This window comes from Homo sapiens, chromosome 14 (genome assembly GCF_000001405.40).
Source record: "Homo sapiens chromosome 14, GRCh38.p14 Primary Assembly".
Taxonomy (NCBI): Eukaryota; Metazoa; Chordata; class Mammalia; order Primates; family Hominidae; genus Homo; species Homo sapiens.
Window position 1 is genome coordinate 100,632,416 of NC_000014.9, and position 23,040 is coordinate 100,655,455.

General features: G+C 52.8%; 5 annotated features.

Moving 5' to 3' along the window:
* Positions 3,466–4,466: an enhancer, noted in NCBI's record as "H3K4me1 hESC enhancer chr14:101102218-101103218 (GRCh37/hg19 assembly coordinates)". NCBI's record gives its function as "activates a minimal SCP1, AML or CMV promoter by ChIP-STARR-seq in primed H9 embryonic stem cells {active_cell/tissue: H9 hESC(primed)}" and the evidence as "EXISTENCE:reporter gene assay evidence [ECO:0000049][PMID:30033119]".
* Positions 6,405–6,906: an enhancer, noted in NCBI's record as "H3K4me1 hESC enhancer chr14:101105157-101105658 (GRCh37/hg19 assembly coordinates)". NCBI's record gives its function as "activates a minimal SCP1, AML or CMV promoter by ChIP-STARR-seq in primed H9 embryonic stem cells {active_cell/tissue: H9 hESC(primed)}" and the evidence as "EXISTENCE:reporter gene assay evidence [ECO:0000049][PMID:30033119]".
* Positions 6,907–7,406: an enhancer, noted in NCBI's record as "H3K4me1 hESC enhancer chr14:101105659-101106158 (GRCh37/hg19 assembly coordinates)". NCBI's record gives its function as "activates a minimal SCP1, AML or CMV promoter by ChIP-STARR-seq in primed H9 embryonic stem cells {active_cell/tissue: H9 hESC(primed)}" and the evidence as "EXISTENCE:reporter gene assay evidence [ECO:0000049][PMID:30033119]".
* Positions 8,210–8,309: a silencer, noted in NCBI's record as "silent region_6092". NCBI's record gives its function as "represses an Ori minimal core promoter by ATAC-STARR-seq in GM12878 lymphoblastoid cells {active_cell/tissue: GM12878}" and the evidence as "EXISTENCE:reporter gene assay evidence [ECO:0000049][PMID:35858748]".
* Positions 12,760–13,260: an enhancer, noted in NCBI's record as "H3K4me1 hESC enhancer chr14:101111512-101112012 (GRCh37/hg19 assembly coordinates)". NCBI's record gives its function as "activates a minimal SCP1, AML or CMV promoter by ChIP-STARR-seq in naive H9 embryonic stem cells {active_cell/tissue: H9 hESC(naive)}" and the evidence as "EXISTENCE:reporter gene assay evidence [ECO:0000049][PMID:30033119]".

The following is a 23,040-nucleotide window of genomic DNA, read 5'->3' on the forward strand; positions in this document are numbered from 1 at the left end:
CAATGAGAACACTTAGACACAGGGTGGGGAACATAACACACCGGGGCCTGTCGTGGGGTGGGGGGAGAGGGGAGGGATAGCATTAGGAGATATACCTAATGTAAATGACGAGTTAACGGGTGCAGCCACCAACATGGCACATGTATACATATGTAACAAACCTGCACGTTGTCCACATGTACCCTAGAATTTAAAGTATAATAATAAAACAAAAACAAAAACAAAAAAGCATAAAGGAAATAAACGAACTACATACAAAACTCAAAAGATAGAAGAAGACACAAAAAGAGAAATTCAGTTGGAAAACAGGGAGAAAAAGTAGATTTGATAAACACATTTGAGAATTAACTCTTCCAAAAACTGGATACTCATTCAATACCTATTTGGACTATTTTAACAGCTCTATTTCACAGATGAGTCCACGGAGGGTCACAGAAGGGAAACTGGGCTGCTGAGGGAGGTTTTGGGGAGCCGGGATGGGAAGGCAGGTCTTTCCGACTCTCACCCTTGCGGTTTCTCCATACAGCTCAACACCTCCCTCCCAACCTGTTTTAGTTTCCTGGGGCTGCCATAAAAAATGACCACAAACTGGGAGGCTTAAAGGAACACGCATTTAGTCTGTGGCTGTTCTGGAGGCTAGAAGTGCAGAATCAAGGTGCCAGCAGGGCCACGCTCCCTCGGGGGCTGCGTAGGACCCTCCCTGCCTCTTTAGCTTCCAGAGGCTCATGGCCTTCCCTGGCACGTGACTGCATGGCTCCAATCTTTCTCTGCATTGTCACATGCGCTTCTTCCCAGTGTGTGTCTCTCTGTGCCCCCTCCTTGTCTTATAAGGATGCCCGTCATCAGAATGTAGGCCCATTCAAGTCCAGCAGGACCTCAACGAACCACATCTGTAAGGACCCTACTTCCAAATGAGAGCTGTCGGAGGTTCCAGAGGACGTGAGTTTTGCATGGCGCACTATTCAAGTTGATACACAACTTGATCAGCATTTGGGACCGAAAACCATCTCTTCCTTTCACAACCCAAACTGACTCCTGGGCAGGGCAAACCTGTGGATGCTGACGTATCTCCTGGTGCCCTCCCACCCCATCCCTCACTGCTCATCTCTGTAGTAGGGGGGGTCATGCGACACCCACTCCAGTGCGGGGGACCACCCCGGGCAGGCGCCTCCCCGGCTGTGTGTGTGTGCTTCCCTGCTCCCAGGAGGAGGCAGCCCCCACCTCCTTGCCAGCTTCGAGGTGAGTCCACCACGCTGAGGCTGCACAGTGCCAGTGTTAACTCAGCAAGGTGGATTTTTAAACTAAATTGGCCAAAAATTTTGATGACCTAAAGACAGACTGTAATTATAAGTCTAGAATCCGGTGATGAGCACATGGGTGCATTTTATTGTCTATGTCATATATGTCTATGCTTTTTGGGGTACTTTCTGAGTGCCCATTTGGGGCAAGGATCTTTTCTTGCCATGTGTAATTGAACTCCCTAATAATCCGGTACAGGGGACGTCACTATCCTTGTTTAATAGATGAGGAAGCAGGGCCCAGGCAGGGTAATTGGCTCCCTCAGGCTTTGTAGCTATGAAGTAGAGTTCAGCTTCGAACCCAGGACTTTGTGACTTAAACGCTTGTGTTTTTGCCCTCATCCTACAGGCAGGGCAGGCTGCAGAGGATTTATTTATCAGACAGCGAGAGCATAAGTTTAGATTAGCAAGCTAAGCGAGGTGAGCCGTGTTCTTGATGAGCTGTGTTCTGATTTCACCTGGGGACAGTGCTTTGATCCTGCCCGCCCACTGGCAGCTGCTCCTCATTAGCTGGTCCCCACAGCTGGACGCGGCCGAGTCAAAGCGTTGTTGCAAGAGCTACCTGGGCAGGCCAACTCTTGCCCAGGGCTGGCATCTCAGCAGCCAGGTGGCTGCTCTGAGCCTGGCAGAGGCTTTCTGGAAGCTGGTGCTCAGGAGTGCAGATTATAGCACCAGAACCAAACAGGTGAGCCGGCCGTGGGCTGCAAGCCCCCCAGGAGCCCTCCATGAACTAGTGATATGCTTCTTTCCATCCTGCCTCTGCCGTTCAGTGCTCAAGCCTACAGAGAGGATGCTGGAGCCTCCATATGACAGGGACAGGGCAGCCAGCAGCAAAGCAATGGTCCCCTCTGAGGGCAGCTCGGGGACAAGCAGTCTTCACAGGGGACCCCAGGCTTCCCTAGCAAGTGAACTGGGCTGACCTCTGTTTCCCTGGGCTTGTCCAAGGCCCACCTGTAGCAGCAGGTGTTGGAGGTCAAGGAGCAGTTCCTGGGGGAAGCGGGATTTACAATGAGGAAACTCTGACTTCATCTTTTCACCATGAATTGGAAAATAAACTCCCATTCTTCCATTTTCAATGTTGGCCAAACCCCAACATTCCGCATAAATATGGTTATAACCTGGGGCGCATCCTCTCCCCGCTGCTGACTGAGGGTCAGCAAGGGACAGAGACGCCTTCAAAATCCCGTGCGTTTGGTTTACATCTTGGTACATCAGAAAATGCTTCTCGCCTGGTCTCCATTTGTGATCTCTCTTGACTCCTGTTTTGAACTTTTGGGGTCAAGCCTATATTAAAGTCCAGGGTTGGGTCAACAGATGGCCCTGGGAAGAAGCAGAAAAGAAGCTGGTGGCCTTGGCCTCTTGATGCTCATTGTCTTGGAAACAGACACATCCTCTCTGGGTCTCTGCAGGGGCTGAAAGGCACCTGGGGCTGGCTGTTCATTCTCTGGCATGGGCTGTCCATTCCGTGGTCCCAAACCATCTTGCTGCTATCAAATGAGGCCAGCAGATCTGTTTGGGATCACTGGGGGAGAGGTTCCAGCTCTTCCTAAAGTGTGGACTGTTATCCAAATGTGCCAGCAGCCACCAGGGGTGGGCCAGACATCACCTCCCCTAACACAGATGGAGAGGCTCTGGAAATTCACGTTGCAATTAGTAGCTCCTCTGTAGGGCAGCAGGCTCTAGGGTTACTGCCCCGCCCTGATCACACAAATACCCCGGCCCGACCTGGAGGTATCTGCAGTGAGCCTTCCACAGAAACCACCCTCTGTCCCGTTTTGTCAGGTGCTGGCTGGGAAGCTCGAGCAGGTTATTTGGGGGAGAGTCAGGAGACATGGGAGAGTCATTTATTTCAAAGAGTGGGAGCTGCTGTTCTGCAGGCGCCTGAGTGACAGGGGCTGTACTTTGCCGATCACCATGATGAAAGGCTACAATTGGCCTCTTGGCTTCTGAAGGTGCGGACAACTCAGCCAGAGCTGGGTGGATTCTCCAGTGAAATCATCCGCTCATCATCTCTGCTCTTGACACCATGTGCCCAAAGACACCCCACAACACACACACACACACACACACACACACACACACACACACACACTGCACCCCCTAAGCTGGGGCTTTCTCCTGGTCATGAGCCCTGGAACCAGAATGAGGCAAGCCCATCATTCCATAGTGGGAAACTGAGGACCAGAGAGGGAGGATGATTTGCCCAACGCTGGGGCCAGAAGGGGCACAGTGCCTGCCCCCAACCCAGGGTGCCTGCTCCAGGCTCAGGGGGTGGTGGCTGCAGGGATAACCTTCCGTCTTCGGAGAGGGCTGTGGGTGGGGGCTGGAGGCTGCTGGCATCCCCTCCTGGTGTTTCCTTGAGGGTCTTCTAGGACTCTTTTGAGCCTGGAGAGAAGGGGAATGGGGGTCGACAAACTGCACCAAGCTCCGCAATCCCCTGACCAAGCCTATCTGCCCTGTCATTCAGGAATGAATTGTATGGGAATGAATGAATACAAGTAAAACTAACAACAATAGCTAGCTCCTCAAGCTTTCCCTGCGTGCTGGGGGCCACAGTGACCCGGGGTGGCCCTTGGCTCCCCTCCTTCCCACTCACATCCAGGCAGGAAGTGGCCCCGTTGGCTCTGTGGATCCTACAGTGGCCGGTAGGACGTGTTTTCTGTCTGTGTCCCTAGCATGGCCACCGAGCGCTCAGAATACGGCTAGTGTGACTGAGGAACTCACGTTGCTTTCTCATTTAATTTTAATTAATTTAAATTAAAAGGGCCACCTGGGGCTAGTGGCTCCCATATTGGACAGTGCAGTTCTAGGCTATCCAGAAGCTGACTGCCTCTCCCGGCCTCTGTGATGCCTGCCCTGTCCCGGCATGGTCCTCTGCCCTGTGGACCACTGCGGTGGTGTCCTGCGCTCCCGTCTTCTCGCTTTGGCCTTTGCCAGAGGAGGCTGATAAAAGTACATCTGCTCAGAGACTGCACAGGGCCCTGGCCAGGTCCTCACACGGCCTGTGGGCCCCGCTGCACCTCCAATCCCACTCCCTGCTCCTTCCCCTGCCCTGCTCCACTGCCCGGGCCTCCACGCTCCTCCCACGTGCACTCGTGCCCCTGCCTCAGGGCCTTTGCACTGGCTGTGCCCTCTGCTCAATGCCCTTTACTTAGACACCACATGGCTCACTGCTTCTCTTCCTTCCGACTCTGCCTAAATTCCACTTTCTCAGAGAGGCCTTTGCTGACAACGCGTAAGAGGACGTACATTAGCAATGCAGCCCCTTCTGTGTCCCCCTTTTGGCAGATGTATTTTCTTTAAAACATTTGCCACCACCTGGCTTTTGAATTGGTTGTTTATTTTCTGCCTCCCCTGACTCGAATGTAAATTCCACGAGGACAGACACTTTTTTTCTGTTGTTTTGTTCACGGATGCATCCCAAGCTCCTGGGATAGCCCCTGGCTCACAGTAGGTGCTCAGTCAATGCTGATGGATTGGGGGAAAGATTATCTCAATCAATCGTCACTGTCATCCAAGGGGAAGGTATCCTTATCGCCAAGCTACAGGTGAGAAATCTGAGGCTGAGGGTGAGCTTTCAATGAGGTGCACTCAACTTAGAAACTCACAGGCATAATCACCACCATGTCTCAGCCATGAGACCGCCTCAAAGCCTCCGTTTCCTCCTCTATAGAATGAGGGTCAGAACCACCTACCTCATGGTGGTGCTGTGAGCATTCAGTGCCAGCTGCTGGGCAGTCAGTGAACTTGACCCCCCCTTCCCCTTCTGAGAGCACCTATCTCTGGGTGTCTCTGTGTAACGTGGCAGGGTCTACATGGGCTCTGGGCCCAGAGGAGACCAACCATAGCCGTGGATTAGGGGGAAGGTTTGCCTGACAATGCAGGACAAGGATGTCCTGGCAAACTCCTCTCTGGACACATGAGAGGAGGGAGGTATGGGGTGTGGCCAGTGGCAGGGCTCAGGGGCTGGTCCAAGGAGCTGGGAGGCATCCTGGGGTTCCCACAAAGCACAGCTTCCTCGCTGCCCCTAATTTCCAAGCCCCAGCAGCTTCCCTCATCTTACGCTGCCATGTGTCTGTGGAGGGCAGCACTGATGAGCTTGGGGCCAGGGCAGATTTCCTGGCAATGTTGCCTGGCGTATGCTTAGGAGCTGGATCTTTGGAGGTGGCTGGATGGGGGGTGGCAGGGAGGAGTGGCACCTCACATACGTCCCAGAATTCTGAGCTTGGCCTTCGAGGCCTGGCCCCAGGCTCCTGGCTTTGGACATCAAGCTGAGTTCTAGAGAACGGAACAGAGAGGGGCTGGCCTCAACTCTGCACCAGCTGTGTGTGATGCCTGACACGTGAAGCCTTTCGTGGGCCCTCTCACTTAGTTTTCACAACTTCCCTGCAACCTGGCGTTATTACTGTTATTCCCTCACTCACTCACTATGTGCCAGGCCTGTGCCAGCTGTTAGTGGCTGAACCAGTCCTCATATCCAAGACGTGTGCAGAGGCGGGAGGTGTGAGGACACAGGGCTGCAGGGGTGGCTGATTTAGGGAGAAAGACACCCAGGCTCAGAGGGCTGAGGGGATGGACTTGGGTCCCATCTTGGAGAAGCAGAGCCAGGCCCCAAGCCCACACTGGGGGCTCCCAGCCTGTGCCTTCCCACCCCATGGGCTGGGTGGATGCGGCCTTGGCGTCGATGCCCCTCAGTGCCCCGGAGCCCCGGGTACCAACAGCCCTGTCTTGTCCCAGCAGAAGGCCTGGCCTGCCCCTTCCCTCTCCAGGTTTCATCTGAGGGTGTGGGCGCTCCTGTTGGGGAATGGTGTGTGTTTGTAGCAGGAGCCCTCTGCCTGGTTCACCTGCGGGGAATTCCCCATTGCCCACGACTCCTCCACTCAGGGAGGCCTGTGGGTTCAGGAGAGGCCCAGGCCTCCAGGGCGCGTGGCCGGCTGTGTTTAGGGGCCTGGTGCCTGCTGTCAGGGCCCGCTGAGGTCCCCAGGCTGGCCCCACCCACCCACTCAGCCCTCCTCCCAGCCAGGCCTGACTGAAGGCAGGGTGTCCCTGCTGTCCCGTTCCCCTGGGCCTGACCCCAGTCCTGGGCACACAGCCCCCGCTGCCTGCTGGGCCTCAGCCTTGGTCACTGTTTGTCTCCAGCCCCTTGAGGCAGGGCCCTGCTCTTGTCTGACTTGCCCCCTGAAGGCCTTAGATCTCAGGAAGATGCCCCTTCCCTGACAATTGTCTCCCCCATTGGGCTTCTGGGTGTCAGCCCAGCTCAGTGTTTGGAGTGAGGCAGGCTTGAATTACAGTCCTAAATGGTGGGCCAGGTATCGCCCCTCTCCAAGCCTGGCTCCCCCACCTGTTCAGGGAGTGCAGCCGTCCCTTCACCACAAGGTCATTCCAAGGACGCTCAGAGAAAGCTCACCTCTAGCATCTGGCACAACAGGGGGCCTGGCACCTTCCCTGGAATGCCTCTCACAGGGCAAGGCTCCTGCCTGACCTGGGCCTGGCTCACAGAAATGCGCTAAGTGTGGATGAATGGATGAGAGGATGCCAGGGGAGATAGGGGCAGCAATGCCAGGGGAGACAGGGGCAGCAACGCCAGGGGAGACAGGGGCAGCAGTGCTAGGAGAGACAGGGCAGCAACGGCCCCTGCCCCTGAGAAACTGAAAGTCCAAGGGGGAGATGATGCGGAGCGAGACAGGTCCTATTCCCTGAGCTCTGGGCTGGAGCAGAGCTGAGCACAAGGGACTGTGGTTTGCTAGGAAGGAAGTCAGGGAGGGCTTCCCAGAGGAGGGCACCCCAGAGGAGGGCATATTGAGAGGGCCTTTGGGGGATGCAGAGGAGTCTAAGACAGACGAGGTGGAAATGAGCCTTCCAGGGAGGGTGAAGCATGTGAGGTTGGGACAGGAGAAGGGCCCAGGAATTTTGGGAGTTGGCCTCTTTGCTGGGAGCAGTGGGGATCCACGAAGACTTTTAAGCAGGGGCATAACGTAGTGGGAGCTGGCTTTTTATACCTCACTTCGGGGTAGAGGATGCACTGCCCAGGCTGGTGGTGGAGTGGTGAGGATCTGCTGCCGGCTGTAAGGCCTAACGTGCGGGGTCTGCCCGAGACGCCTCCCTCTGCCATCCTGTAGACCCCACCTGAGTAGCTCCATGGGGACTTCCCAGGGCTTGGCCAAGTTTCCAGAACACTCTGGAGGCTTCTAGGTCAGAGGCTCCATCTCCCAACCCCAACGATGCCCTCGTTTCTCAGTGGTACCCAACCCCCACCAGAGCAAGAATCCTCAAGGCTGGGCCATATGGCAGATGGGGCACTGCGAGAAAGGGAGCGGGAGGGAGAACGCGTTGGGGGCAGTCTTGGAAGGCAGGTCGTGGCTTCTACCTGCATGTCCCCGAGCCCATGCAGAGCCTGACATGGAGGAGCCCCTCAACCAACTTGTGAACGTCAGGGTGAGCACACCTGGTGACGGGCACTGTCAGGGCGCGGGCCCACATCCAGAGAGGAAAAAACATCAGGGCTGCCCCCTCTGCCCTGCAGAGCCCCTTCCACTGCCCGGCTATCTCCTCCTCTCATTGGTCACCCTCTTTCTAGCTGTTTCTGCCTCCAGGGAGCCTTCTAGAGCCCCTCTGCTGTGGGCTTCTTGTGCCCCACATCTCCCCGGCTGGCTTCGCACGTCATGAATGAACGAATGGGGCAATGACTTGCTTATTTCTGTCTCATCCACCGGACCTGGGTCTGTCTGTTCACTTCTGTGTCCCAGTGTGTGGAGGGATGCCTGCCCCACATAGGGCCTTGACAAACTTTTGTTGCATAAAGGAATGAGTGTTCAACAAAGATGTAGATACAAACAGACTGTGGCTCACGCCTGCACTGTGGTTAAAATCGCCAGGTGACACCCTGGTGGCGGGAGACCACATCCTGCCTCGCACAGGCTCCCAGCCACCAAGCCGACGCTCTGGGTTAAGTGGATCCTGGCCTGCAGGAGGCCATCGCAGCTGCCACCGCAGGCTCCCCAGGTCTCCCTGATCCCTCCTCTGAGGGTCCTGGCCGCTTCCCAGGGAAGTGGGGATGACGGAAATACAAATCCCTCATGGGGGATGCTCAGTCAGTCCTGGGCTGTCCTGATACACGCATTCTTCCAATGTGGGCCCCGGAGAATGTGCTGATCCTGCAATAGGGTGTCTTCAGAACATGAATCATGAGTATGAAAGAAAACAAGCCACGGACCCTGCTGAGGAAGCCTCTGGAGTCAGGATGTGGTGGGCCCTGGCAGGCTGGGCATTAAGAGCATAGGCTCTGCCGTCGGGGGATCTGGGTTGAAGTGTCCGCCCTGCCACTGCCTCCTGGCAGTCTGGGGCTGTCTCAAGCTTCTGTTTCTAGTCTGGTTTGTGGGGACCGGAATCCTTGTCCTGCTCTGGAATCCTGGGCAGAGAGGACACAGTCCTTGTCCTGCTCTGGAAGCCTGGGCGGAGAGGACACAGTCCTTGTCCTGCTCTGGAAGCCTGGGCGGAGAGGACACAGTCCTTGTCCTGCTCTGGAAGCCTGGGCGGAGAGGACACAGTCCTTGTCCTGCTCTGGAAGCCTGGGCGGAGAGGACACAGTCCTTGTCCTGCTCTGCAATCCTGGGCGGAGAGGACACAGTCCTGTGGCTGGCATGAAGGAAATGCTCAGCACTCCCAGGGACTCTGGGAAGCTCACTCCCTCTGCTAGTCAGTCTCCTCAACTGTAGATGGGGCTAATGAGGGCTACTCCCACAGGTTGCTGGGAGGATTTAATAAGGTAATTAATAACAAGCAGTAAGGGAAGTTGGTAACACTTGTTAAGAACTTAACAAGCACCAGGTGTCATTCAAACTGCTTCTTTATCCCCATTTTACGGATAAGAAAACTGAGGCATGAGGCGTTAGTGATCTGCACAGGATCTCATGCCAGAGATGTATGGCTGCTGACCTTGGCTTCTGGCCAGTTTGGCTCTGAGGCTAAGCTCCTGGTGGCCACACCACTGCGACTTGCTGGGCCTCAGCTCTCCTCCCCCTGCATCTTCTGCTTCTAGTCCCCGCTGCATCTCAGCTGCCTGACAGCGCTGCCTTTATTTGGATGTAGTGCAGATCTGGCCAGGCCCTGCCTGCTGGGCATGGGGGCTCCCCTGGACCGCCCTGCTCCCTCCCCAGCCTGACTTCAAAGCCCTCAGTGCTGCAGACAGACACACCTGACTATTGGCAGCGGTTCTGTCTCCAGCCATTGCTCCCGGACACCCTCCTTGTTCCTGGCTATGTCCAGCCCTCCCATGAAGCCTCAGGGAGGCCTTCTTTGACCACCCCACGCTGTACTCCTCAGGCTCCCTTGGCCCCGCAGCGCCCTGTGCTGTCTCTTTACAGATCAGCTGCTCCCACTGGCCTCTGGACAGCTCCAGACTCATCCCTGTATCCTCCTCACCAAGTCACCAGCCCAGGCCAGGGGAGAAGGGGACTAGGGAGGAGGGAGGAGATGAGGGTGTGGAAGGTGTCATTATTTAGAAGCCGGGGGCATTGAGGTCATGGGCCTGGGCTCAGGATGAATGAGGACCAGAGGGGGAGGACTGAGGGGGCAGGGGCCGGCTCAAGGTGGAGGGGCATGAGGATGGTGTGGGGGGCCCAGGGCAGAAGAGGAAGGGCTAGGAAGCAAACTGATCTTGATAACAGCTTACACTGTTGGAGCCCCTACCTGGGCTGAAGCTGGTGATAGAGAGCTGGGCCCCACTCCAGGGAGGTGACCCTGAGGGGCAGGCACATGAGTAGGTAACTCCAATCCGGGGGACCTGGGACATGGAGAGACAGGCCTGGGGGAAACAGGGGCATTGCAGATGTCATTCAGTTAGACGAGGTCATATCAGAATAAGGTGGGCCCTAATCCAAGGACTGGTGTTCTTATAAGAGGAGAGAGGCCCAGTGCAGTGGCTCACACCTGTAATCCCACCACTCTGGGAGGCCGAGGAGGGAGGATCACCTGAGGTCGGGAGTTCAAGACCAGCCTGGCCAACATGGTGAAACCCCATCTCTACTAAAAATACAAAAATTAGCCAGGCATTCTGGTGGGCACCTGTAATCCCAGCTACTCGGGAGGCTGAGGCAAGAGAATCACTTGAACCTGGGAGGCAGAGGTCGCAGTGAGCTGAGATTGCGCCACTGCACTCCAGCCTGGGTGACAGAGCAAGAGCAAGAGTCCATCTCAAAAAAAAAAAAAAAGAAAAAAAAGAAAAGAAAAGAAGAGGAGAGGCCACAGGGGCACACCTGGGGAGGAGAAGCCATATGAAGACAGAGGCAGAAATGGGGATGACCTGTCCATAGTCAAAGGTTGCCAGCAGTTACCAGACTTCAGAGAGTACAGTTACCAGACTTGGATGCCAGACAGCATCCTCCCCTAGTGCCTCCAGAGAAGTGTGACCCTGGTAACACCTCAATCTCAGACTTCTAGCCTCCAGAACCCTGAGAGAATAGATTTCTGTTGCTTGAGCCCCTCAGTCTGTGGCACTTTGTTAAGGCAGCTGCGGGAAACTAGTACAGACCCCAGGGCTCCTCTGATCCTTAGCCCCGGGAAGGACCAGGGGTAGAGACAGGGACCCCAAACCAAGACTGAGAACAGTGTGCAAAATCAACATGAAACTCCATTTTAGGAAAACAAAGTAAGTAGCATTTCCGGTGCGCCTGAGGTTATGGACTGAGGTTTGAGGCTGTTGCATGGGGGCCTTGTGATTTGGGCTGGAGGAAAGTTGTGCCCTCTTGGGCCCTGCTGGCCACATCTCTGGTTCCTGGGTTGGCGTCATCTGTGACTGCTGGGGCAGTGTTGAAGGGCCAGTATGTGAGTGGCCACTGTGTCTGCCGCCCCAAATTAATATTTGATGGTGTTGAATCACTTTCTTCTGAGACAGAGAAAGAGGCCATCACACATGGGTAATAAGATGCGCTGGGCTGTTCAGCGCAGTCGGGGCCTGAGGAGGTTGACGGCACTGTGAATAATTCATCCGCCTGTAATGATTTTCTAGCCCTTGCGTCCCTCTTGGCCAGAGACAGCCTGACCTGCCCTCCCCTGCCCTGGCAATCCAGCCCAGTGCCTGGTCACTCTCAGTCACACCAACCTGAGAGTGAGAGGCACACGCTCCCCCTAGCTGGGTGGTCTGGGACTTGGCCTCGGTTTCCCCAGCTGCACCAGCAAGAGAGCTGTGTGCCTTGCTCCTACACAGGAGGTACAGAGAGGCCAAGTGCTGTGGCACTGACCCTGGAGTTGGCACCACCCATGTGCTGTGTGACCCTGAGCACCTCTCTGGACCTTGGTCTTGTTACTCTGTACAATGGGGACAGGAGCACTTGCCACCCTGCCTGTCTCACAGGGTCTTATTTCTGCTGTTTTGGTTGGACATTCCTGGTATGAGGTATAGTGTCAGCTGTATTCATTTAGTCTGTTTTTGTTTTTTTGAGATGGAGTCTCTCTCTGTCGCCTAGGCTGCAATGGCACAATCTCGGCTCACTGCAACATCCGCCTCCCAGGTTCAAGCGATTCTCCTGCCTCAGCTTCCTGAGTAGCTGGGATTACAGGTGCACACCACCATGCCCGGCTAATTTTTGTATTTTTAGTAGGGATGGGGTTTCACCATGTTGGCCAGTCTGGTCTCGAACTCCTGACTTCAAGTGATCCACCCGCCTCCGCCTCCCAAAGTGCTGGGATTACAGGCATGAGCCACTGTGCCCGGCCTCATTTAGCTTGACCTCAGTGTGCTGGTCGATGCTGTCCTCACTGAGTGGGTGGCATCCCAGTGGCAGAGACAGGAAGGGGCAGGGGACTGACCAGGAAACAGATGTCTACACTGTGAATGAGTGAGAACAGCCAGGGAGAGCACAAGAGGCTTGGGGTGGAACTGCAGAGCAAAGAGGAGGCGATGAGCTTGGCCAGCGAAGGTCTGAGAAGACTGCCTGGAGGAGGGAGCTGTAAAGCTAATGACTGTGGGAACAAAACATGCACAAGGTGTTCACCATAACAGCAATAGCCACGGTAACGTGCTGCAATACAGCACTAATGGGGTGCAATGTCTCCCACTTTCCCCCCATCCTACTAAAGGGAACCTTCACGTTTAAAAAATCGTTCTTTATGCATATTTGGATTAAACCCCTCCAGGGACTTTCTACTGACTTCAAATAACATCTGCTCTGGCCTGCAAGGCCCCCATCCTCTGTCCCTTGTCTTATCTCAGACCTATTCTCTACCACTTCCTCCTCCTGTTTTCCTGGAACTCCTGGTCTTCTTTCTGTTGCACAAAAAGGCCAGATCAATGCTCACCTCGGGGCCTTTGCAATCGCTATTTCTGCACCAGGAATGATCCCTCCGCCCCGGTCTTTCCTTGCACTTCTTCAGTCTCAGCTCAAACGTCACCTCCACACAGAGGCCTTCCTTGAACACCCCCCAGAGTTGCTGCCCACTCCCAGCCATGGCCACTGCGTTGAATTGCCCTTTTAACTTTGCTTCACAGTTCTTAACACTATAGGACATTTTCTAGTGCAGCCACATCTTTGCCTGTGACACTTTGCCTAGTGACTGTCTATCCCCCTTGGTTGTAAACTTGCCAGGACAGAGACCATGCACCTCTGATGGCTGTATCTCGGGGTGCGGTGACCGGCACACAGTTACCTCTTAAGGAGAACTTATTGCAGTTGAAATCATTCTAAGCCATGCCCTAACTTCCTGGTTTTCAGCTCAGTGTAGCAGCCAGACTCCAGACAGCAGACAGAATCCACACAGTAATCTGATCAAGGCAAGTTGATAGATTATTGATTATAACGGGGCTCTGCAGTAATGAGGGACTGGGCAGTAAGGAGTGAAGGGAACTTGAAAGAACCTAGCGGTTGCAGGCATAAGGAGCAGTTGCTACCCCAGTTCTGAGATACAGCAGCCAAGGAAGACCCTCCCCCGACCAGGGCTCAGTGGGGAGGGCACAGCTGTGGCTTAGTGGATGTGGCTGTGGGCTGCACCAACAGAGCTTGCTGGAAATCCACCCTTTAGGGTGCTGGGGAGGCTGTTCATGAGGAGATATCTGCTACAAACCCACCCTAGAGAGAGCAGAGGGAAGCTGCCAACTGCGTTCACCGCACTGCTGGAGAGGCCGCCCACACTGCAGGAGTCTGCCCAGCCACCGCCCAGTACCAGGAGGGAAAATCCCTGCCTCCTGTCCTGTCTCTCCAGCGCCCTCTGCTGACAAAGCTTAATGTGGTGTCGACAGGCAAAGAAAATCACAAAGGCACCAGCTCATTTTTTAATACAACAGCCAATGCAGGGCAGATTCGGAGCTGGGAGACAATAAATTGATAACTGGCACGGTCCACCCCTTTGGCTACTCACCTTCCATGTGTACTACACACATTTGGACTCCTGTACAGCAGCAAAACATCTTTATATCTCCACCTAACAAGATGCAGCTACAGATCTTACCCATGACAGTTTCTGCCCTCTCTCTGAAACGAGGAGACATGCAGTCCAGCAGCCAGTGTTTCTGTCACTGACTATGTGAATTACTCCTCAAATTCATTTGCATTTCCACTAAATATTTTATTACCTACACACTAAACTGTGAAGTTAACTTCCAACAGTTTGGATATAAAATAAAAATGGAAAGGAGGGGAAGAAAATAATTAGTCTAGGCTGGGTGTGGTGGCTCACGCCTGTAATCCCAGCACTTTGGGAGGCTGGACCAGGTGGATCACTTGAGCCCAGGAGTTCAAGCCCAGCCTGGGCAACATAAGAAGACCCCACCTCTACATAAAGTTTAAAAAATTAGCCAGGCATGGTGGGTACTTGCCTGTGGTCCCAGCTACTTGGGAGGCTGAGGTGGGAGGATCACTTGAGCCTGGGAGGTTGAGGCTGTAGTGAGCGGTAATCACGCCACTGCACTCCAGCCTGGGCAACAAAGTGAGGCCCTGTTTCAAAAAAAATGATTAGCCTCTACAGATAAGTATGTACATAAAACAAACAAGTAGAAAATAGCTACTATGGGACTCATTTCTGTAAGGTAGTTGTGAGGTTAGAATTGATATCAATGGCTTCCTTCTTCAACTACCCATTCTACACTTCCCCTGTCCTTAGCCAGAACCTCAGCTGGCCTCTAACTAGTGGAGTGAGCCTAGTCTCCCTTCATGAAGGCTGTGAGTCCTCTGTCACCATGCACGTTTTTGGTTGCTGTACTTTTCCATTAACCATTTGCTAGGATCTGAATGTTTGCAAAATCCATACTTTAAAATCCAAAACCCCTACTAGGTGATGGTATTAGGAGGTGGGGCCTTTGAGAGGTGAGCGCTCCTCACGGGTATTAGTGCCCTTACAAATGAAATCCGGAGAGCTAGTTTCCCACTCCCACCACGTGAGGATACAGCAAGAAGATGTTGTCTAGGAGGAATCAGATCTTTACCAAACACCAAATCTGCCAGTCCCTTGATCTTGTACTTATCAGCCTCTAGAGCAATGGGAAATACATTTCTGTTATTTATAAGACACTTAGTTTATGGTATTTTGTTATAGCAGCCAAGATGGGCTAAGACAGAAAATTGTTATGGAGAAGTAGAGGTGCTGCTGTAACACATACCTAAAAATGTGGAAGTGGCTTTGAAACTGGGTAATGGGTACAGACTGCCAAGAGTTTTGAGGTGCATTCTAGGAAAAACCTGCATTGCTGTGAGTGGATCATAAGGTGAATTCTAGTGAGGGCCCAGACGGGGAGGAGCAGAGCTGCAGAAAAAGCCTCCAGCTTCTTAGAGAATACCTAAGCAGTCATTAACAGAAGGTTGGTAGAAATATGGATGGCACAGGCCATTCCGATGAACTCAGACAGAAGGTGAAATGTATCATTGGACAAGGAAGGAAAGGCCACCCTTGTTACAAAGTACAAAGAACTTGGCTGAATTGTGTTCATGTTCTAGTGTTTTGCGGAAGGTAGAGCCTGTGAGCAATGAAATTGGATATTTGATAGAGGAAATTTCTAAGCAAAGTGTTGAAGGTGTAGCCTGGTGTCTCTTGACTGCTTATAGTAAAAAGTGAGAAAACAGAAATGATTCAAAGACAGAATTGTCAATCAAAAGAGAAGCAGAACTTAAACAGTTGGAAAATTTTCAGCCTATCCATATTGGAAAAAATGACAAAACATATTGGAGAGAGAACAAGGATGTGGCTAAATGACTGATAAATAGATAAGTATGGGCTGGGCACGGTGGCTCATACCTGTAATCCCAGCACTTTGGGAGGCCAAGGCAGGTGGATCACCTGAGGTCAGGAGTTCGAGATCAGCCCAGCCAACATGGCGAAATCCTGTCTCTACTAAAAATACAAAAATTTGCCAGACGTAGTGGCACATGCCTGTAGTCCCAGCTACTCAGGAGGCTGAGGCAGGAGAATCACTTGAACCCAGGAGGCAGAGGTTGCAGTGAGCCAAGATTGTACCATTGCACCCCAGCCTTGGTGACAGGAGAGAAACTCCATCTCAAAAAAAAAAAAAAAAAAAAAAAAAAAAAAAAAAAAAGAGATAAGTATGGGTTGGCCATCTCAACAGAAGCCAGGATCTATTCATTAAGACAACAGGAGAGATTAGTCAACCATCTAAACCAGGGGTGTCCAATCTTTTGGTTTCCCTGAGCCACATTGGAAGAAGAACTGTTTTGGGCCACACATAAAATGCACTAACACTAACCATTGCTGATGTACTAAAAAAAATTGCAAAAAAAAAAAAAATCTCATAATGTCTTAGGAAAGTTTATGAATTTGTGTTGGGCTTCAAAGCTGTCCTGGGCCACATGAGGCCCATGGGCCATGGGTTGGACAAGCTTGATCTGAACAGAAGCCAGAACCTGTTGTCCAAAATGATGGAAGAATTGGGGTCTGTCCTTTCCCTCACAGGCCCAGAGTACTAGGCCCTGGAGGGCAGAATGATATCAAAGGAGGGGCCACCGCCACTGCCATACTGTATGGCAGCTTCCATTTCCCTCCATGCATTCCATTGCTGAGCTCCTTATCCACCCCAGCTGTGGCTTCTGCAGGCCCTAGTGTGGCATACACTGTGCCCAGCAAAGCTGTAGAGGCTTGGCTGCCTCCCTCTAGATTTCAAAGGATGCCCCAAGGGGCCTCAGGGCCCAGAGAGAGAAACACTGCAGGGACAAGACCATCATAGACAGCCCCTACCAGAATAATACCCACCATAGCCAGGGGTGGGACCATCTCCACAAACCCAGATCAGCAGAGCCATTGGAATGTGATTCTAACCTGGGAGTGTCACAGGCATGAAATCCCAACCTGTGAGACCTGTAGTATGGGGTGTGCCCAGCACAGCCATGGGGGCAGGGCCACCACCACTGTGTGTCCAACAGGCAGGATCCCCACCCCAGTGAGTCTGGAGGGCAGATCACCAAGCCAAAGCAGATTATTTCTGAGCCTTAAGGTTTCTGGTCTTGGCCGGGACCTGTCACTCCTTCCTTCTTTCCTATTTTTCCGTTTGGGAATGGGAATGTCTAGCCTATGCCTGTTCTACCATTGTATTTAGGAAGCACATAACATGTTTGATATCACAGGCTCCCAGCTGGAGAGCAATTTGCCTCAGAATGAATCATACCTTGGGTCTCATCCATATCTGATACAGATGATATTTACATGAGACTTTGAACTTTAGACTTTTGAGTTGATGCTGGAACAAGTTAAGATGTTTTGGGCAATTGGGATGGAATGAATGCATTTTGCATGCAAAAAGCACATTAAATTTGGGAGGCCAAGAGAAAAATGCTATGAAGTGAATGTTTATGTCCCTCCAAAATTCATATGCTGAAATCTTAGCCCCCATGGTGGCGGTGTTAGGTGATGAGACCTTTGGGAGATGCTATGGTTTAAATGTGTCTCCCAAAGTTTGTGTCTTGGGAACTTAATACCCAATACAACAATGTTGGGAGACAGTGTCTGATAAAAGGTGATGAGGTCATGAGGACTCTGCCTTCATGAATGGATTAATGTCATTATTGTGGGAGTGAGTTAGCTATCATGAGAGTGGGTGTGTTATAAAAGTGAGTTTGGATCCCCTTCCTCCCTCACTCTTGCCCTTGCTCTTCTGCGTTCCACCATGGGATGACACAGCACGAAGGCCATCACCAGATGCTGGCGCCATGCTGTTGGGCTTCTCAGCCTTTAGAACCTTGAGCCAAATACCTTTCTGTTTATAATAAATTACCCAGTCTGTGACAGTCTGTTATAGCAACACAAAATGGACTAAAACAGGAGATTAGATGATGAGGGCAGAGCCCTCATGACTGTGATTAGTGCCTTTATTTAAAAAAAAAACCCCAGAGTGCTCTTTATCCCTCTCACCATGTGAGAACACAACGAGAAGGTGCTGTCTATGAGGAAGCAGGCCCTCACCAGACACTGAATCTGCTGGTGCTTTAATCTTGGACTTTCCAGGCTCCAGAACTGTGAGAAATCAATTTCGGTTGTTTATAAGCCATTCAATTTGTGGTATTTTGTTATAGCAAACAGGCTAACACACCATTACTATTGGTCACAGGAGAACTAAGAGAGGTACCCTGGAGAATCCTCTGCGTTTCAGATACTTTCCTCCCTGTCCTCATTGTGCAGCAGCAGCCCAGTTTCCCCTTGCTAATCAGGATCAATCACTCCAGTGAGTAGAGTCATTTCTTTCCTTTTCTTTTTGTGTTGATTCAGTGGCTTAAGGAGTCCAAAGCAGCCAGGTGATAGCCTCATCTTCCAATTCAGAGAAACCATTGCTGTGTCTGATGGTGGCAGGGTTCCACCTGACTTCTGAACAGTACAAACTGGGAAGCTCCATGGAGTGTGGTAGGTATGAACACCTCTGCTTCTTGTAAGTGACATTAATCTCTCAAATTCCCCTGGGATAAAGTATAGCTTCTGGTTCACTCACTTGGATGGAAGTGGAAGTTTCAGGGATTTCCACTAAGTTCTTCTTGTGATAATGGCCCTCACCACATGGGTCACAGAGCCAATGCAGGGATGCTGACAGTTGCTAAGTATGTCTCCTCCAATTATACATTTAAGAGCTAGACAGATAACCACTAGTGGGGATGGGGTCCATGGACCAACTGGGCCTACTGTGAACCAGACCTGAGTTAAGACTCCATCTATCATCTTCCCACTGTCCACCTCCTTTTAGATTGCTGGGGCATAGTGGAATTTTGGGCCCTCAGGAATTAGTGTTAGTTCAGAACCACTGTCTAGCAATCCTCAAACCATCTAGGCATTTCCTTCCCCTGTTGCACACTCCCTGTAGTAAAAGGCCACAGGTCCCCCTGGAAATGGCTTGGAGGAAGGTTGACAGTGTGCTGTCATGCTGGCCTCCGTTCAACCAAGTCGCCCAGGGTCTGTGCATTTGCTGAGATCTGGAAGTTGGGTAAGAAGCCATGATTCTTCATTGCAACAACTCAAGTCAGACTTGAGGCTACCAGGCCTTGCGCTCTCCCGGTTGTGTTTCCTGTTTAAACTAAGGCTGTAGCAGGCTGCCCATCTCTTTCTTCCCGGGGACACCATGATGAATTAGCCACCACCAAAGATCTGTGTGGGCCAAGGCATGTTGATTGCTTGTGCGTCCCTGCTGTCCGTGATGCTGGATGTACCCACTTTGTCTTTGGCAGTGAAGTGATGATGCCACTTGGCTTCTGCCGCTCTGCAATCTCATCATTCCCACTGAAATCAGGGCATGCAGCTCGGTGGCAGCATCCCCTGCTGTCATGCCTGGTCTAAAAAGGACTGCAACCACAGAGATTTTCAGGGATGCAGGCGTGCCGCTCACCACTGTATTTTTCAATTCCTCAGTGAAGGAAGTGTCTCCTGGGCCCTCTTGCAGAACATAGTAGAGGGATGGGTGTGCAGGTTTCACCTGATAGATCCAGCCCAGCATTCCTATCCTCTAAGCCTTTCGGTTCCCTCCTCCGCCTCATGCCAGGGAAGCTCTGTCATCTCAATCTCATTACCTGAAGGTCACGGGTGAGTCCAAGCTTTAGTCAAGAACCAGCCAAATAATCTGTTAGATCCACCTTCTGCTGGTGGCAGGAAAACTTCCAATGATCCCTGTCTCCTGCTGTTCATTCCTTTATGTAACTCCCTTCCTTTGAGTATAGGTGGGCTTGTGACATGCTTCGAACCAACAGAATATGACCAAGCTGATGGGCGGTCACTGCTGTGATTAGCTTCTGTAAGGTGGTAGCAGGCTCTCAGTTGCCTTCTCAGCATGCAGGCTTTGATAAAGTAAGTGACCATGCTGAAGAGGTCCATGAGGGCAGCCTTCAGCCAGGGCCACCTAGTAACTGAGGCCTTCAGCCCAACAGCCTGCAGGGAACTGACTCCTGCAACAACCTTGTGTGCCTGGAAGTGGATGGTTTCCCAGGGAACCCTTCTGATAAGACTGCAGCTCTGGCTGACACCTGGATTGCTGCCCTATGAGAATCCTGGCCCAGAGGAGCCACGTCAGCCATGCCCAGGTTCCTACCCCATAGAAGCCATGAGATTAAAAGTGTGTGCTGTTGTAAGCCTTGAAGTTTGTGGTAATCTGATACATGGCAATAGATGATTAATGCATAGTTACACAAACTAGCACATTGGATTCAGATTTTCTAGTAAGTGCAACTATGCCAAAACATTTGGCCTGGTCTAATGTTGTATTAATATTTCTCCCTCTGTGATCTAACACCCTTAGAATCCACTCTGCACGTGGTACCCAGGTTTCTGCCCACATATATAAGCAAAGTCTTGTAATTCTTTTGGTGGTAAAGTGTGTACTTGCCCCTGCAGCATGCTGGGATTGGAGCCCAGCTGTGGGTCTAGTGGCAACAGGGTGGCTGCGATGGATCTCGAGATGAATGGGCACCTCCTTCCAGGGCATCTGCCCTGGGTGAGTTTATCCCATGGTTTTCAAGCAGAGGAGAGCCAGTCTCTTCTGACATGAGATGGGTAGCTGCCTCCACTTGCAAAGGAGGCTCCGTGTGACTTGGGGACTCAAGATTGACGGTCTTATTTGGATCCAATCAGATGTTTTCATTCCAAGTTTTGAGATCTGATTCTTCACTAATCAGGGCTCTAACTTTCACATGAGAAACTTGTTGAGCGCATGAATTCAATTGTTATACCTCAGCAGCCTGCACAATTAAAGCTTGTGTCTGATTTTCATCAGCATCAGCCCTGCAGCTAAATGAAATAAGAGCCTCTTTTACAGCTGTCACCGAAGCTCGCTGGTTCTCAGACTGTGACTTGAGCTGAAGGCTAACGGATCCAAGCTTTTCATTTTCTCTTTGTAAGAGCTTGCGTACACTCAAAAGAATCCACACCTCACCAAAATGTTTATAGTCATCGTTACTGCCATAATGGTCAAGTTCAGGAGCCACGTGGGTTCCTTAGGAGCCACTTCATCGCAATCAATGGCAGATGATAGTTGATTAATGGCAATGCTGCTGCATATGGGGGTCACTAACATCCCGTTTCCCATTGGCAAGGAGCTCAGCTTTGTGTTCAAGCCCAAAGGCATGACCAAACCAATCCCCACATCCCATCCATCACCTGGAACCACTCTTGGTACCAATTTTATGTCAGTCAGGGTACATCTGCCCACTTCCCACAGCCTTTAGCTGTGGTCCCCACGCAGCCTGTGGGGCGTGCAGATGATGTGGCTCCCTGTGGATGAGAAAATGGAGGCTTGGGGAGGGGAAATAGTCTCCAAGATCACCCAGTGAAGACACCTCTGAGTCGGAGCTTGAACCCAGGTCTCTGGGCTACAAATTTGGCGCTCTGGCTGCTGGGAGACACTGCCTCCTGGTGGCCGCCCTGGCCACAAACAGCTGGGGATGGAGTTCTCGGGTGGCTTCGAGCAAATTTCCCCGGGGGCGGCCACATCCCACGCAGCACACACACCAGCGAGCCTCTTCTCACCCTGGCTCCCCGCTCCTCTAGGAGCAACTTGGGGAATTCCTACACATTTAATCCCTACTGTGCGCTAAGTAGCGAAGATGGTCGTTCCATGTCACCCTCCCTGCAACCTTGCAAGGTGGGTGCTATCACCCCCAACTAAGCAGGGTGGAGGCGACAGCGGAGAAAACGAGGCTCAGAGAGGCAGAGACTTGTCCAAGGCCACATAGTTGGAAGGCACCAATGTGGGGGCTTGAATCAAAACCAGAGGAAAGATATGCCCAACATTCCTGTCCCTTGGCTCTGGGAGCCCCCGTGGAGGCAGAGATGAGTGCAGGAGTGGGTGCAGAGGTTGGCTCCTCAAAAGAATGCCAGTCCAGGCTGGGTAAACGATGGGTGCTCTGAGCGGTGGGGGGTTTCCCTCCTGCTGTGGGGCTTCCTGAAGGAATCGTGGTGGGAAGCAGGGGTTCCCCTTCAAGGGGGCAGGGGAGACACTCTGGAGTGACATTTGCCACCCACCACTCTGTAATGATCAGAGTGGGAGTAAATGGAGCTGGGCCTCAGAGTAATTGGCCGGGGAACCCTGAGTCTCGGCTCGGCCCAGGGTCACAAAGGTCCCCGAGTTAATGAAGCAAACTCTCCCCAGTGTCAGAGGCCGCCTTCAGCACCCCTACAGAGGACGAAACTTTCAGCAGCAGCTTTTCAAGGTTCCAAAAAGAAAGTTGGTGGAGGGGGGCAGAAAGGGAAGGCGTTGTTTTCATGCCTCTTGCTTCATTTGCATAAGGTGAAAAAATGTTTCCATAGAAACAACTAGAGTCTGTAATTTTTGAATAACGATTTCTGCACACAGCACAACCTGTCTTTTCCAAAGGGGAATTAAGAAATTCTCAACAGCATTTCTTACCATAACAAAAGGCAAAGTTTCCCAATTCTAGGATTGCTGCTCCAGAAGGGAGGGCCTTGGCTCCAGCCCCTGCCCTCTCTCGGCCTCAGTTTACTCCTTCTGTGAAATGGGGCGAATGAGGGTGGAATTAGACTCAGCAGGGATGAAGCCGCCTGCACCGTGGAAGGGGAGGGCGGGCGCTGGAGTGAGATGGGATTCCTGTGTCGGGGCTGGGAGGCAGCAGGGCCGGGCAGCGTTGTGAGGAGCTTTCCAGAAGAGGCGGGGGCAGGGGCTGAGGACCCGAGGACCACCCAGGCCACACGGAGAGGCCCCCGCCCGACCCTGCCCCCCGGGGTCTCCTCTGCGGCGAAGAGCGTGGGTGCAGGACCCCGGCGCGCAGCGCAGCGCAGCGGACCCGGCTCACCTGAGCGAAGGTTGCGGCCTCGCTGGCCGCCTCTGCCCCCTTGTGGCCCGAGGCCACCGCAGCACCCACTTGCCCGGGGCACTGACCTGCGTGGCTGGCTCCGCCAGGGCCTGACCTCCCTCCTGGTGCCTTTGCAGAGGGGGAGCAGCCACAGGGCCTGGGGGTGGGGTTGGGCTGGGAGAGGGACCCCAGGATCCTCTGGCCACCTGCCCTCCTCCCAGGCGTTGGCACACGTGGTTCCACGGAGGGGCTCCCTGGGGCATCTCGGGAAGTGCAGATTCCCGGGCCTGCCTCTGCAGGTCTGACTCAGGAGGCCAAGAGGTGACGGCTAAAGTGGAGAGGACCACAGCGAGGCCTGCAGAGGGTAACGTGGGGGACTTGTCTGCTCCCCCATATTACAGATGAGAAAACTGAGGCCCTGCGTGGGGGGCCCCCCCTGTCCGTGGCTTCCCACCAAGGAGGCCCTGCATGTTCTGTCCATCCTCTGACTGCTCAGCGACCAAGGCAGCTGGGTGGTGGTCCGGGTCTGT